The sequence below is a fragment of the Homo sapiens genome, chromosome 20 (genome assembly GCF_000001405.40).
Source record: "Homo sapiens chromosome 20, GRCh38.p14 Primary Assembly".
NCBI lineage: Eukaryota > Metazoa > Chordata > Mammalia > Primates > Hominidae > Homo > Homo sapiens.
In genome coordinates this window covers 59,059,680-59,076,347 of record NC_000020.11, presented here as the reverse complement: position 1 = coordinate 59,076,347, position 16,668 = coordinate 59,059,680, and the positions used below count along the sequence as shown (strand labels likewise).

The 16,668-nt window shown below is 40.2% G+C and overlaps 1 long non-coding RNA gene across 1 annotated transcript, besides 1 other annotated feature; it reads right to left on the bottom strand.

Moving 5' to 3' along the window:
• Window positions 11,700–12,899: an enhancer, noted in NCBI's record as "P300/CBP strongly-dependent group 1 enhancer chr20:57638504-57639703 (GRCh37/hg19 assembly coordinates)". NCBI's record gives its function as "activates an origin of replication core promoter dependent on BRD2, BRD4, P300/CBP, MED14 and CDK7 cofactors, with strong dependence on P300/CBP, by STARR-seq in HCT116 cells {active_cell/tissue: HCT116}" and the evidence as "EXISTENCE:reporter gene assay evidence [ECO:0000049][PMID:35650434]".
• Window positions 12,142–12,898, bottom strand: LOC124904943 (uncharacterized). Its single transcript, XR_007067680.1, has 2 exons — window positions 12,709–12,898; window positions 12,142–12,561 (listed from the first exon to the last, which is right to left on the bottom strand). It is a non-coding gene; the product is annotated as an uncharacterized LOC124904943 (long non-coding RNA).

Here is a 16,668-nt window from a genome sequence, read left to right as displayed (position 1 = left end):
TCCTGAGAGCAGAGGTGTGAAGGCTTGTGCGAGGCACCCAGTGTCACTGTGTGAAGAATGAAACCTTCTTTTCACTAGAAGATAAAGTGAAGTTATGAAAATGTCAGTGGTTTCACTTAAAAATATTCAGTTGTTGGGCACGGTGGGGGTTGTGCCTGTAGTCCCAGCTACTTGGAAGACTGAGGCACATACTAAAGAACACACACGTGCACATACTGAACCCCACAGTGGGCTGCTGTCACCCCTGCTGGGCTCAAGTCCCCACATCCTCACCAGACTCTGAACCTGACTTGCCTCCCTTCTTTGGGGAAGGGGGAGACAAGGGTTGGGGAATGAGGCTAAGAAGTGTGAATGCTGCTGCTCCTTCCTCTACCAACACCTGCCACCCCCACCTCCACCCATTCAGACCTCAGGGAGTCCAGCATCCCCATTTCCTTTCCTGAAAACTGTTCTTCTTGCTCACCAGGAGGCTAGATTCTTTCCATCCTTCAGACTCCAGGTTAGGTGTCCCCTCCTTGGGTAGCTGAATAACCTGTCCTAAGTAGGGAAGCAACCTCCCTCCATCCCTATTCCCACCTGGCCTCCTGTCTCTCTGCCATGCTTGTATGTCTCGTGACCTATCATGCTTTATGATTAATAGAGGGTTTGCTTGTTAAGAATCTTTCTCTCCTACCAGAGGGTAAACTTCATGAGGCCAAGTGCCATTTCACTTTGCACATAGCAAAATTCAGGAAATGCTGATCAAAAGAATAGATCATTTTTGTATGAGAACCCTAGAAAACTAAAGAATCAGCTCATGGAAGATTCTTACTGCTTCCTCAGAACTTTGAAATCCCTGCAGAGAAGTTTTCTTTTGGGGAAAAAAAAATTAATGGGCACCCTCTTCCCATAGAAAAGGTGTTGTTGATGACGGCAACACCGAATAATACAGATACAGGACTTGAATAAAAGCTAGCCCACTCACCTTCCTTGCTTAAATCCATTAGTGTCTCTCTTTTATAAATGACAGAATGCAAAGTGCACTCAGTCTGTGTCTGAAGTTTTCCCCTTTGAAGTCTTGCTGCTAAAATGTCCATCTTCTGTATTGTAATAGGAAATTGAAATGTAGAGGATCTGACTTTTCATAAAGGTGTTATAAGTTAGTGGGTAGAACATTGCTGTGAGCGGACAAGTATGAGTCAGTCTTAATTATTTAGGGTTCTATTTTTCTCCTCAATCTTCGTTGAAAAGACACCAAAGTGAAGAACGCATTGTATGATCTTCTTCAGGCTCTGTAGGTGCAAAAGGAGATGAAACAAATAAAGCCATCTGGCTTTTTTTCATTTCCAGACATCCACATTTCTCACACAGCGTTTTTAAGAAAACCGGTGTTCTTAAACTATCCAAAATGTCTTGCATGTACTTGTAGAAGAAATGAAGCCATTTGCAAAATTACAGGCGAATAAAGAGCCCCACTTTTTCATCAGAGCTTGACAATGGAGTCTGAATTATAAAAGATTTTAAAATGTATCCCAGAGCATTCTGTTAAAGTTATGAAAGTAGTTCCTATAGAACTCGCAGATGGGGTTAAGTAATTGAGTGTATTATCTTGTGATAGCATTGCTTGTTTAAATGATCGATAGCCTGGTCACTAGTAATTTGTTGTGGTCAGAATAACTCTGTGCAATGCATAGATTGGGTCAATTTGTGTGATAATGGAAACCCTATTTGAAACTCCAGCGTCAGTGTTATGAGTCAGCCAGGTTGGATACTTTATTTCAACAAGTGCTATGAGTCATTTGAAATTATGTATCATTCATAAGCAGAAAACTTTTTAAATCCCACCTACCTCTGACATTTTGATTCTCTATAAAGTGGGAAAAACAGTATACATTGTAATTTGGTGTCTATTTTTCAGGTAATTGACTTAATAAGTTGAAATGAAATCGTGCGCCACCCAGTTTGCGTAAGAGATGTAGAATTAGGCAGTAACTTTCTCAGAGTAGCGTCAAAGTTCAGCACGGTAATTCTGAAAGCTGTTTTTCCCCAACTTGGTGCCGAAAAGCTGGAAGGATACCTGGCAAGTTTTTCTATCTCAGAAGCACTACTGAGTTGATCAGAATAAAGCATATACAATAAATGCATACTGAATTTTAGGCATAAGAGTTCATATGTAGAGTGCTCACATTAGATAAGATGCATATGGTGTGTCTGTGTTAGTGATGAGCGTTTTGTGTATCTTTCATCGGAATACATTTCAGGCTTCCTAACACAGTATGCTAGTCCTTCACTGAAACTGGCTTGATTTTGATTCTCACTTTTTAAGAATTCATAGGATCAAATAGTGAAGCCAAAGTAAATAACAATAGATGCAAATAACTCCTTGGCAAAGTGCATAAGGAAAAAAATTCCACTTTTTCAGTAGTGTTTCTGAACTGGTCTTAGCTGTTCTTTATTTGTTTCTGGGAGATAGAAAGAACCATGCATTGCTTTCATTTAATCTGTATTACTGGTGACTTGTTTTTATCTGGTGTTTGTTCCTGTCATCACTGTCATTTCTAACTGGCAAGATCCTTCCCATTCCTCTTAGTGGCCATAGCTTTAGAGATTACTTATGGGGCCCTCCTCTGTGCCGCTTTGCAACCCATGCTTCCTCCCCAGCCTAAGAATTATGTTTCCTAAGCTCATCTTTCCCTGCTGTTACCTCTCCCACCCACCCATCTTCCCAAAAAAGAGGTTTATGAACCCCTAATGGCAATTCCATGTACTCAACAGCTTGCTGTGAAATTCAATGTATGCCCTGTTTTTCTTAAACAGGGCATAAATTCAAATTCAATGTATGCCCTGTTTTTTCTTAAAGGTAGCAACATGAAACAATGTAGAAGATCAGGCCCTATGTGACCAAATAATAAGGAAGTCCTAAAAGTCTAAAAAACATCCTGTTTGGAAGATGCTACTAAGTGAAATGAGAGGAAAATGCATGATTCTTCATTCAGTCAGGAAACATTTATGAAGCATCGCTCTGTGCCAGTACTGACACGAGGCTTGACTGTCCAAGGACAAAACTTGAGATCTTGTGTCATTAGGGGAGAAGGATGGGGCTTGGGGCCAACGGATCTTCAAGTTATTAGCATGTGACTTTGGCAACATTTTTGTTTAAGGTCTCTGAACTTGAACAGTGGCCACAGTAGTGACAATAACTGAAAGTTAGAGCTTGACAACTGATTAGAAAAAGATGGGTGAAAACGGGGAGGAACTCTCATGGGAACTGAGGTTTCCAGTCTGGGTAACTAGCGGCAAAATATATTTCGAAGGAAGAACAATAGGATTTATACCTGGGTAACTAGCTAGGGTAGAGTAAAAGGTAACTTTGAAGTTGCACGTCTCAATAATGAGTGCTCTGCATTCCCCAGCCCAGGCTGACCCACTGCCATTTTCTCAGCTCTGTCCTGTAGGATGCTGCAATAATCCATGCCACAGCTTGCTGGGTGCCTTCAGTTTACTCTGAAACTCCCCACCCAGCAATTCTTGGCTGATTAGTGGCCCCTCTTGCTGCCAGTTCATGGGAGCAAGTTTTTTTTTTTCCTTCTTAGATAGTAGAGGGGAGATTGTCTAGAAGAGTCCCATCGAAGACTTTACAGGGGAATCCAAGGGCACATCAACATTTAAGCAGTGGACAGAGGGAGAGAAAATTGTGAAGATGATATAGAGAAGCTCACATATGGTTCTAGAGTCTCTGGATCCCAAGGATAAAGCCAAAGAGAAGGCCCTAGATTGGGGACTGTATTCGTTCCCTAGGAATGCAGTGATAAAGCACTAAAAGAAAGGGAGCAGGGGTCCCCAAATAACAGAGATGGATTCTCCCCTAGTTCTGGAGGCTAGAAGTCAAGGTGTTGGCAAGGCCATGCTCCCTCTGAAACCTTCGGGGGAGAATCTGCCCTTGCCTCTTCTGGCTCCCAGTGCTGCCAGGAATCCTCAGCCTTCTTCGGCTTGCAGACGCATCCCTCCAGCCTCTGCCTCCATTGTCATGGCCATCTTCTCCCGGTGTCTCTGTCTTCACATGGTGTTTCCCTCTTCTGATAAGGATTCCAGTCATATTGCACGAGGACCCACCCTATTGACTTTATCTTAGTTTGATTATACTTGCAAATGCCCTATTTCCAAAGAAGATCACATTCCTAGGTACAGGCTGTTAGAACTTCAACATATCTTTTGGGATGCACAATTCAGCCATAGCAGATACCTTGGGGCAAAATATATGGTTTAGGATCTGGAGGGTGTGGAGGGTCAGAGTAATGTTGCAGGTGTAGCCAGGACAGGCTGGAAAGAGAGGAGGGCATTGGCCTGTGCACAAAATTTAAAGGGGTGCCAAAAACCTCAGTAATCAAGGTAAATAATATCTTAATGAAATGTATGGGTTTTTTTGTTTGTTTTTGAGATGGAGTCTTGCTCTGTTTTCCAGGCTGGAGTGCAGTGGCACGATCTCAGCTCACTGCAACCTCCACCTCCCAGGTTCAAGCAATTCTCCTGCCTCAGCCTCCCAAGTAGCTGAGATTACAGGCGGATGCCACCACACCCAGCTAATTTTTGTATTTTTAGTAGAGACGGGGTTTCACCATGTTGGCCAGGCTAGTCTCGAACTCCTGACCTCAGGTGATCCACCCGCCCTTGGCTTCCCAAAGTGCTGGAATTACAGGTGTGAGTCACCATGCCCAGCCAATGAAATGTATGTTTTAAAATAAAAATCAATGCCAAAAAACTCATGATAAACAAAATATCATCATTTTACATAAAGACAGGATCGGTATTATTGACTTTTCTTGTTGCTAGTGGGGGAAACATGCTCTCTGCTGTTCCCATGCAGCTGAGGCTGGTAGGATAAAGGCCAGTATTGCCAGAGGCCCTGTTTGCTGTGATATGGAAAGCTCAGATTGAGAATGAAACCACAGAGATGAAAGCAGAAGCAAGAGGCAAAAAGGAACTAAGTTCTGATGTCACATTTGAGTCCCTGGATCTACTCATGCCTGAAGGAAGTTCTGCTGGGTTTTTTGTATTGGGAACCTCACTCCCCTTTTTTGTTTAAGCCAGTTTGAATTGGATTTTGGTCCTTTCTAATCAAATGGAGAGCTGAGTAGCAAACCAGTCCCACTCTGACTTGCCCTTGCTGTGCCAACAAGCGGGCTATTCCTTTTAACTGCCTTGCTTTCCCCAAGCTCTTCTCAGCTTTATCAGTTTTCTTCTTTATTCTCTCTTCCTAAAAGAATGGAACGTGTTTCTCCATGCACAGAATGGCAAACAATTCTTTGAGAATCCTGGCATCATTAAATGTAGTTGAATTGCAATGGCATTATTTCTACTGCTTCCTTTGTAATTATCAATACATAACTCTTTTGCATTATTTCTATTATTCCATAGAGTTTATTTAATGGAATCTCTGTGATTTCATTCTCAGTCTGAGCTCTCCACATCATGACAAAAGTGGTCACTGGCAATTCTGGCCTTCATCTTACCAGCCTCAGCTGCATGGTAACAGTACAGAGCATACGTCGGCCGGGCGTGGTGGCTCGTGGCTGTAATCCTAGCACTTTGGGAGGTCGAGGCCGGTGGATCACGAGGTCAGGAGTTCAAGACCAGCCTGGCCAACATGGTGAAACCTCGTCTCTACTAAAAACACAAAAATTAGCCAGGCGTGGTGTCGTGTACCTGCAGTCCCAGCTACTCGGGAGGCTGAGGCAGGAGAATCGCCTGAAACCTGGAGGCAGGAGTTGCAGTGAGCCGAGATCATGCCACTGCACTCCAGCCTGGGCGACAGAGTGAGACTCTGTCTCAAAAAAAAAAAAAAAAAAAAACCGGCATATTTTACCCTCTGGAAACAAGAAAAGTCAATAATACCAATCCTGTTTTTATTTAAAATGCTGATATTTTGTTTATCATGAGTTTTTGGCATTGATTTTTATTTTAAAACATATGTTGCATTAAAATATTATTTACCTTGATTACTGAGGTTTTTGGTGCCCCTTTAAATTTTGTGCACAGGCCAAAATTTATTGCAGGAAGGTGATCAGTGTTTACAGGATTTTTTTGGTAATAAATGAATTCTGAGTCCAAAACCCTGGTAAGTAACTTTTGGAGATAAAGACTTTTTATGTTTGGGGACTCCCAACATTCCAGCTCCTTCATTTATTTCTATATTGCTGGGATTCTGACTATCATTAATTCAATCCGTCAGCCATTGAGCCCCATTTCTGTGTGCAGTCCGATGCCAGGAGCTAGTGACCAAAAAAGTAACAAAACACAGCTCCTGCCCTCAGGAAGCTCACTGTTTGGCGAGGAACCTTACAGTCACCATTCCAAGTACAGTGGGTTCTGGGTCTGGTGTGCACCACACAAAATCCTTCGTCTCCCCCCTTTGTGTCTCTCCAGGTCATACCCCTCCTTCACACTGCAGCTGAATCTTGTCCATCTCCTCCCTGTAGTTTCATGACAGTTGCAAGGATTTTTGTCTGTTTGGAATACCAACTGTACATACAAGTCTTTCCATCCATTTAGTCTTTGGCTATATAATTTTCTAATCTTTGCAAGCAGGCTAAAAATGAATCCCATAAATTCACTGAGGTCAAAGTTTATGTCTCAGTATAAGTTTGTTCCCATTGCACCAGAATTAGAACTGGGCATCTCAAAGTTTCTCAGTAAATCTTTTGTTTGATTGGGAATTGGAGGGTTTTTAGTTTTTTGTTTTTTGTTTTTTTTGCAACAGATGTATTCTAGAACAATATACAACCACCAAACATTTATAAAATGAATCATTTACAAAAGAATCCCAAAGCCCTGTTATTAAGGTGAATAAGCAACTCCTTGTTTGTCTTTTTATGCATATTTAGGTATTCATATTGCATTACATTGACAACTTATGCCTATATTGGAATGACTTCTAGAAATGATTTTGGCATTTTTTAAACTGTAAGTAACTAATTGTAAAAGGCAGATCAGGAGAATTTATTGTTGTTTCTAAATGATCTTTTGCTTCCATCCGATATTTTAATTGAGCCCTCATTTAAAAGCATGTTTGGCTCCTTAACAGGTTCTAAAAGGAACCAAAACATTTCATTTCCTCATTTTATTGTTTGGAATATTAAAATGAAACACTGAAACTTCCCCTAAATTCTGGGATCCTACTGGGCACTTCCACTGGTGTATGTTCTTGAAAATATTGGTAGAGAGAAAATCACGTGCAGCCATCCTTGTTTTATCTTTTAAAAGAAAGATTTTTTTTTAAATATAATTTTTGAATAGGAGGCTATGAGAAGTTGGTTCAAGTGGGAGTTTAACTGACAGTTCTTGATTCGCTATTGAGAAAAATAAAGTGCTTGTCACTTGTGGGGAGTTTCGGAGGGCATAGAGGGAGTCAGCATCCCTGAGAGAGCCTCATCACTGAGAGAGCGTCCAAGCCACTCCCCATGGCCTTTCCACAGGTGGCAACAGGAAGAAACGGAGGTGACATGTGTGGCATTTGTTCACAGCAGACACTTTTAAGAACCCAATGTAGTGAAAAGGGCATTAGCACCTTTCAGTGGATAATGTGTGTGTTTACATCAGGAGCTGGTACATGCTGCTCCAGCTTGCATAACAAAGCACCACAGAGAGAGGGACTTAAATAACAGAAGTTTCTTGTCTCACAGTTCTGCCGGCTGGAAGTCCAAGACCAAAGTGTCAGCAGGGTTGGCTCCTTCTGACAGCGGCAAGAGAGAATCTGTTCCAGGCCTCTTTGGAAGCTTCTGGTGTTTTGCTGGCAACATTTAGCATTCTTTGGCTTGTATAATAGAAGCATCAGCTCTATCTCTGCCTCCATCTTCACATGGCATTCTCTGCATGTGTGTGTGTGTATTTCCAGATTTTCTGACTTTATAAGGATACATATTGGTTTAGGGTTCACCCTAAGGACCTCAACTTAACTTGATCATCTGCAAAGACCCTTTTTCCAAATAAGGCCACATTCACAAGTACTGGTGGTTAGAACATCAACATCTTTTTTGGGGACATCGTTTAATCCATAACAATAGGCAAACTTCTTCTGTAAATGGCTACATAGTAAATATTTTAGGCTTTGCAGACCAAAGGCCTCTGACTAAGTTAGTCAACTTTGCCATTGGGGTGCAAAAGCCACCATGGACAATATGAATGAGCGTACGTGGCTCCGTTCCAGTTATTTATAGACAATGAAATTTGAATTTTGTATCATTTTCATGTGTCAGAAAGCATTATTCTCCTTTTGATTTTTTTCCTACCATTCAAAAATATGATGATTCTTAGCTTGGGAGCCATACAAAAACAGAGAGCTGGCCAGATTTGGCCCTTGGGCCCCAATGTGTGCACCCTGCTCAAGAGCATCAGTATGCATTCTTCCCCAGGGCCTCTGTACATGGAGGTATGTTAGCTCCAAAATGACGTGCAGGAAATCAGGAAGCAAGAATTGAATCTGTGTCTATCATGTGCCTGCAAAGCCATTTACAGACAGCATGTGGCCTGAGCCTGCGGCAGCCCTGGCCACCTTTACCCAGAAGAGACACTCAGGAGAAGCCTCTGGCTGCTAAGAAAACTGAAACACTGGAGATGATGTGAAAAAAAAAAAAAAAAAAAAATCCAAAGAAATAAACAAGTTAAAAGAATGTCCCATCATATTTCATGTCAGGTAGCTGAATGTTTTGGGATAAATGCAAGATATCTTCCATTTGAATCCCATTCCCAGACAGCGGTATCTGGAATGAACAGGAAATTGAAACAAGTGACATGGCTATCAGAAATCTTTTATGTGAAAGAAAACGTTTTTGCACATTTGATAGCCTGTGTTTGAGTCTCTAACGAAAGCAATAAACAAAGATTTTCATCGCTTCTTTGATTCCAGGGGTAAGAGAAGAAGACACCTTCCTATGCAGGCTTGAAAGCACTTTGCTTCTTTTATGTTTCAGTCTAGGCTGAGAGGGAATGGAGACTGAGCCACATGATGGGAACTGACGCTCTCAGCCCAGACTCTTCCCCGAATTGTCACTTATAACTATTACTGTGCTGGCTACTGACAAATGTCACTGCCTAAACACGTAGTAGGGACTTTATCAAATCTGTTATTTGGCCCATCTAGATAGCTCACTGAATCTATTTAATCTATTTTTGGCATCATGATGAGACCAGAAATCAACTGCCAAATTTCAGAACAATATTTTAATAAAAATGTCTTGACCAGAATAGTTTTATATCAATTTTGAGGTTTCTAAACAGTTGTTTTCTTGTTTTATTTGTAGCTGATGTCAGTAATAATTCTTGAAACTGCAATTCTCAGAAATTGAAAAGAGATTAGATTGAGCATATTTGCATTTTTTAAGTAAAAGAGACAGAGGTTATCCCCCTTTGGAACAGTTTAACTTATAAATGAAAAATATCTCCTAAGATTTGTTTCGATTTTTATGGAAGTATAACTTAAAGATAGCACAGTGCCCAGACCTTAAAGGTACAGCTACAGAAACCTTTTAGCTAACATCATTCCTGAGCTCAGGAGCAAGATAGGAAGAACCACCATTGCCACTTCTAGTCAACATTGTATTGGAGATCATAACCAGTACTACAAGCTCTTTGATACATCCAATTCATTTTAAAATACCTCATCTTTTATCTGTTTTGTCCACAGTTGTCTCTATTTTCTTTAGCATCTTAATCGTAGGTATTTGGAAGTACTTGTTTGCTAACTGCAATACCTGGATGACCTCTTAGTCCGCTTCTGTTGACTCTTTGATCTGAATTCCCAGTCACTTTTCTTTTTTCTTCTTATGTCAGATAAATTTTTATTTTATGTCAGACATGGATAATAAATTGCAGTTTCTGGATTATATTACCTTCTAAAATATGTCTTTTAAAATATTTCTGTTTAATCTTTCATAATCATGAAGGTAAAAATATTACTCTGTCTTACAGGCAGGATGCTTGTTATTTATTCTGAGGCAAACGAACATCTTTAGCAACATAAAAGGTTGAAAAATTGCATCTAATACATAGAATCAATTGTTCAGAATAGCTTGGAAAGGATGCAAAGTTGTTCTTAAGACTATTTGATTTTTAGACCATTCTAAATCATCACATACCCCAAATTGCTTCAATCCTAAATAAATAGCTGCCTATTTATTTAGGATTGAAGCAATTTGAGGTATGCAATTATTAGAGGACAAATGTGTTCTATGTGTCTAAATCCTTTTAGAAGAAAAGGGCAATGTCTGTCTCTTTTCCAGTGTGACACAGAATGTAGCTCACCCCTGAGAAATCATGATACTTCATTTGAAGACATGATTATCTTTCTCATCCTGCTCTTCCATTATAAATTAGCTTGGCGATAATTAGAGAATTAGAGGCATAATTTCCAGTTATGCAGTCAAATTCTTTGCCTTTCTTGATATCCACATAATTTTAAAAAAAAATTTAATGCAACCCACAGTATTTTATGTTGCATACTCTTATCGTTATGTAATCCCAACTCAGGTTTCCTTTATCTATTTGTGCTGCCGTCTGTGTAGATGGAGTCACACTTTCCATGCAACGGTTACTATGTTTCATTGATATAAATTATTAGAACTGTACCAAACAGCACAATTTCATTACTTGTAGCTGTACCTCATTTGCAACTCATTTATAGTACTGAGTGCAATGGGAAAGAATAAAAGCAAAAATAAAATGTGCTTGCTTTCTATATCCTCTTTCTGTATAATATTTAATTCCACATTGATATTTTGTCATACAGATAAAATGTGCATGAAACAAACTAAGAAAAATCAAGCATGCCTCATTAAAACCATTTCTACCTTCATCTCATATTTTATGGCAACACCTTGATAATGTATAAAGCGAACAACAGGAACTAAAGTTAACTTGTTTGTTTTTATTATTAAGTTGCTCCAGGTTATTTAAGAAAAAAAATAAGATCTCGGGCGGGCCTGGTGGCTGATGCCTGTAATCCCAGCACTTTGGGAGGCCAAGGTGGGCGGATCACTTGAGGTCAGGAGTTGGAAACCAACCTGGCCAACATGGTGAAACCCCATCTCTACTAAAAATACAAAAATATTAGCCGGGCATGGTGGCGGCGCCTGTAATCCCAGCTACTAGGGAGGCTGAGGCAAGAGAATCGCTTGAACCTGGGAGGCAGAGGTTACAGTGAGCCGAGATCGTGCCACTGCACTCCAGCCTGGGCAACAGAGCAAGACTCTGTCTCCAAAAAAATAAATAAATAAATAAGATCTCTAGCCTGCTGTACTATTTAGTCATTTAAAAATATATATCACGGCTAATTTTATAAAAAGACAAATTTTAAAACTAAACTTTCAAAAACTACAGTATTTAATTATTGGCTTTGCTTAGTTTTTATAGATAGAAAAATTTTTACTCAGTTGGTAATTCCTGTTTTTATACTTATTACCACAAGCTTATGAATTACTAAAAGAAAGCCAAAATCCCAATTCCCATAGGTGAATGTTTTTATGTTGCAGAATTGATTTTGTATTTAGAAGTACAGAGGTGCATTGCTTCTTAGCCTTTGGCTAAGATCAACTGTAAAAGTACAGATGTGGTCTGACTAGTTATTTGGTATTTATTCCATGTCAGCTATAGTATTGTTTAAATATTATTTTTGTGAGTATATGCTTGCATAGAATCATTCACTGAATAACTTAACCACCTCATCAAATAGAATTTACAAAGGCTTTCATGGGGTAGGGAAGAGATTTTGGAGTAGTTAAATATCTTTCTATTTTCCATCAAGAAAAGAAAACCAATTAAATTAATTAAAGCAGGTACCACTTAAGCCAGGTCGAATCTGGCATGCCAGACATATATAAACAAACAGCCTGGGCTGGTCAAGTCTAGGCATGTTATGTAATCATAAAGCCTATTCAGCTCCGTTTTTCTTTGGGGTTAATTCTGACAGCTTCAGCAGTGAATGGTCTGTCGACTGTACCCTCAGCATAAGGACCCATCAGAAACAGCAAAAGCTGTCACAAAGCAGAAGCTGGTAATCCTACTTGCAGAGGTGACTGCGATAGGGAAGGAAGCCAGGCATCTTTGCTATTCACTATCCCCTAGCAATTTTCTTTAGTTAGTGTACAGAACATGGTAAGTTCACTCCAACTGTTTTGATGAGTTTCTGCCTACTTCAAGCACTTCTGAGTTTATTTTGATTTGTAACTTTTGCTTTTCTTGAAGTCGAGCATAAATTACTTTTTCTTTTACAAAGCAATATAACCTTCCATCACCAGTTTAGTTTTTTCCCCATAGAATCATTTTGATTCATAGAAGAGCTTCACTATTTTTAAACACTGGCTCCGGGCTGACGTCATTATTCCTGACCTGCGTATGTCTCCTGCAGCACCAGAGCCCTTTTCATTAGCACCTTCCTCCAAACTCTCCGCCTAAATCTCAGTGACTCATTCTGCCATCACGTAGCATCCATTCAACGCCCACACGGACGTGGGCCTGGCAGTGTCCGGCGTAAAGCTTTGTGCCTGTCTCCGGTCTCTGGAGAGGTTAGATCTGCTGAAGCAATTTAAGAGGCTGTGTAGAGAAAGATAAAGCAGTCAAGCAACACTTCAGATAAATCAAAAACAGAAAAGAAATCACAGTGAAATTATATAAGGCTTCGGTGTTTGTGGTTTGGGAATTAGGAGGGGCTGTGAGAGAAATATATACATATGTACTCACGTATTGGAGGAAAGTGCAGCAAAGGATGAGGCAGAGAGACAAGGGCATGCACAGCCCTCCTGGTGCCAAATGACTTCTGCGACATTCCCCTTGTTTCTAATCCCAAGTCCGGAAGATAACATTTGACAGCCCTGTTTCCACTCAGATTTATCGGTGTCGATTTGTTTATCTTGCCGGAAGGAAAACTGAGGTTGTGCATATGATTTTGGCAGTGTCGGATTTGTCGTTATGCATATTATATGTAATCATTTGAAAGTGATTTTCCTCCATTTGGGCCGTTTAGTATAAAAAGGGGGAAAAAAGTCTGTTCACTTTGTTTTCCTCGGATAATCTATCAACTTCTGAACTCCCTCTAAAAATGGGCCTTACATTCTCTGCTGTTTTAATGTATTCTAACATTTTATCTTCACATTAGGAAGACTGATATTTTTTGCAAAATAATACTGTCTATTGATTTTATGTCCACCCTCACAACATACACCAAAGCTATTTTCTCCCACTTAAAATCACCCATTTTTAATGTCCTATAACTTGAATTGGGTGGAGGTTAAGCAGGTGTATATATACGTAAAAATTCATCGAGTGTACATTTAGGCAGGTGTATACATATGGAAAACTTCATTGAATGTACATTTAGGCAGGTGTGCACATATGGAAAAATTAGCTGAGTGTACATTTAGGCAGGTGTGTATATGGGAAAATTCATTGAGTGTACATTTAGGTGCACTTTACCATTTGTAAGTTATACTTCAACCAAAAAAATTTAATAAATTCATCTATTTTTCTCTCTGCACAGCAGCCATTTTCTTTCTGGTAGTTGTTATTTTATTGCTAACACAATATTTTCACATCATAAAAGGAATTTTTTAAATTCACCCAGAATCTCACTGCTGTAATAAAATGTTTGCTTTTCAATATTCCCTCTGATTCTGGACATATATTTATAATTGTGAAGTTCGTGTCATTTTGTATTCTACTTTTGTTCCTGTGTAATATTATATCAGATATTTTTCTGTGTCTTTTGTGATGCTCAGAATTTTCCATTTTAATGACTGCAAAGTCTTCTGCTGTGTGATTACAATCCCACTGGCCTAGCCACTCCTCTTATATTGGACATTTAGGTGACTTCAGATTGTTCATTAAAACAAATGACCCTCCTGTAGACATTTATGCATGCATGCACCCGATGAATGGAATATTCATTTGAGCCTCTGTTCTATACAGAGGACACACAAAAGAAATATAACTGTGGACTCTCTTTTGAGGAGCACTGAATGTGCCCTGGATGGCAGAGTCATCCTAGCTAATTACAGCGTGTTTGTGTTTGTTGAGACCTGTGGCATGATGACCACATGACAAGCCCATCTCTGGACTCAGCTCCAGCTGGAAAGGGAATGGCTGACTGGGTTTGCTTCATCTGCCTCCGTATGGCCAGCACCTAGGTCAGCACCAAGTCACTCCTAAACCCTCAAGGTTGAATGAATGAATCCGTGTGTGAATGAATACATTATCTCTTCTGACTGTGAGACAGGTATTATTATCCCATGTTACAGACAAGGAAACTGAGATTCATGAACAAAGGAACAAAGTGCCATAGAAATGTTAAGTTCTTCCATTTATACCCAGGCTATTGCATTTAACCTTCAGCCAAACCCTCTGAGGCACATATGATAATCCTGACTTTGCAAAAGAGAAAACTAAGGACCAGAGAGAAAATTAAGCAACTTTCCCGGGATTGCCCAGCTTGCAAGTATTAAAACCTGGCTTCAAACCTAGAATTTCCAACTCGAAATTCCATGCTCTCTTCCCCATGCCATGCTTCTTCTCAAATACAGGATTATGGGGCAAAAAGGCAAAAACATTTTTATTATTCTACTTTTATATTGCCAATATATATTTCTCCTATGTCTGTTCAAGAGAAAATTATAAGCAAGTAAAATAATTGAACTATACCATGCCAGTTACTAGTACAACTGCAGCGTTAGCAGCAATATGCATCTTTTTAAACATATCACTCGTGTGAACAGTTTAAATGGCACCCCACTGTTACCTCACGTGGCATGTCTTTACCCAATCCAGAAGCCCCACATCTCTCCATATGTTCGTTTACTCCTCGCTCTTGTGTTAATCGTCCACTTATGACCTTTGTTTCTTTGTTCATCAGACCCTCCACATTATTGGTATATATTAAAGTGGTTTCTTTAAATATTAACCCCTTGCCATATTTGATGCTCACATTTTTTTCCCAAATAGTTTCCTTTTTGATTTTTGTTAATTTTCATTTTATAAAAATGCTCTACATTCTAATTATTAAAATGTTTGGCTTCTTTTATTGCTTCTATTCTTAGAAAGTCTAGAATCGAGTATTTTAAATTTTTTTATTTGCTTGAGATGGAGTCCCACTCTGTTGCCCAGGCTGGAGGGCAGTGTCACAATCTCGGCTCACTGCAACCTCTGCCTCCTAGGTTCAAAAGATTCTCTTGCCTCAGCCTCCCAAGTAGCTGGATTACAGGCGCCCACCACCACACCCAGCTAATTTTTGTATTTTTAGCAGAGATGGGGTTTCACTATGTTGGCCAGGCTGATCTCAAACTCCTGACCTGCCTGCCTCAGCCTCCCAAAGTGTTGGGACTACAGGCATGAGGAGTATCTTAAATTTAATGTGCCAATCCACCTGGAGCTCAACATAGCATACAGTATAGATCTAAAGTGCAATTCCCTGGCCCGGCCTGGTGGCTCATGCCTGTAATCCCAGTACTTTGGGAGGCTGAAGTGGCTGGATCCCTTGAGGTCAGGAGTTCAAGACCAGCCTGGCCAACATGGTGAAACCCCATTTCTACTAAAAATACAAACATTAGCCAGTCTTGGTGGCATGTGCCTGTAATCCCAGCTACCCGGGAAGCTGAGGCATGAGAATCGCTTGAACCCGGGAGCCGGAGGTTGCAGTGAGCTGAGCTCACACCACAGCACCCCAGCCTGGGCGACAGAGTGAGATTTTGTCTCAAAACAAATAAATAAAGTGCATTTCCCAATTTCCTAAGTTATAGCAGGGATGACATGAAGTCCATACACACTGGTTCAGCAGCATATGTTGGGAATGGCCAGTAACTGTTGTTACCTGTCAGTGCATTGTGCCCATGCCACACCAGTTGTTACTATTTTGAACATCACCTAGCTGCACCCAATACCATATATTAAATAATGTGTTCTTGCGTTCTTTCATATTTTTATGACACTATCTCCCATATTTATTTTTTCTCTCCTTTCTTGTATTTTATTGTACTTTAAGTTCAGAATATAAGTGCAGAACGTGCACGTTTGTCACATAGGTATACATGCACTGTGGTGGTTTGCTGCACCTATCAACCCGTCACCTACATTTTAAGCCCCACATGCATTAGGTATTTGTCCTAATGCTCTCCCTCCCCTTGCCCCCTGCCCCCCAAACAGGTCTCAGTGTGTGATGTTCCCCTCCCGGTGTCCATGTGTTCTCATTGTTCAACTCCCACGTATGAGTGAGAACATGCGGTGTTTGGTTTTCTGTTCCTGTGTTAGTTTGCTGAGAATGATGGCTTCCAGCTTCATCCATGTCCCTCCAAAGGACATGAACTCATTCTTTTTTATGGGTGCATAGTATTCCATGGTGTATATGTGACATATTTACATTTTACATATCATTTTATTTACTTCTGGCGTTTCTGTTCTATTGACCTATTTTTTCTTTCTTTTTTTTTTTTTTTTTTTTTTTTTGAGACAGAGTTTCACTCTTGCTGCCCATGCTGGAGTGCAGTGGTGCAGTCTCAGCTCAACTGCAACCTTCGCCTCCCAGGTTCAAGCAATTCTCCTGCCTCAGCCTCCTGAGTAGCTGGGACTACAGGTGCACACCAACACGCCCAGCTAATTTTTGTATTTTTGTAGAGATGGGGTTTCAGCATGTTGGCCAGGCTGGTCTCGAACTCG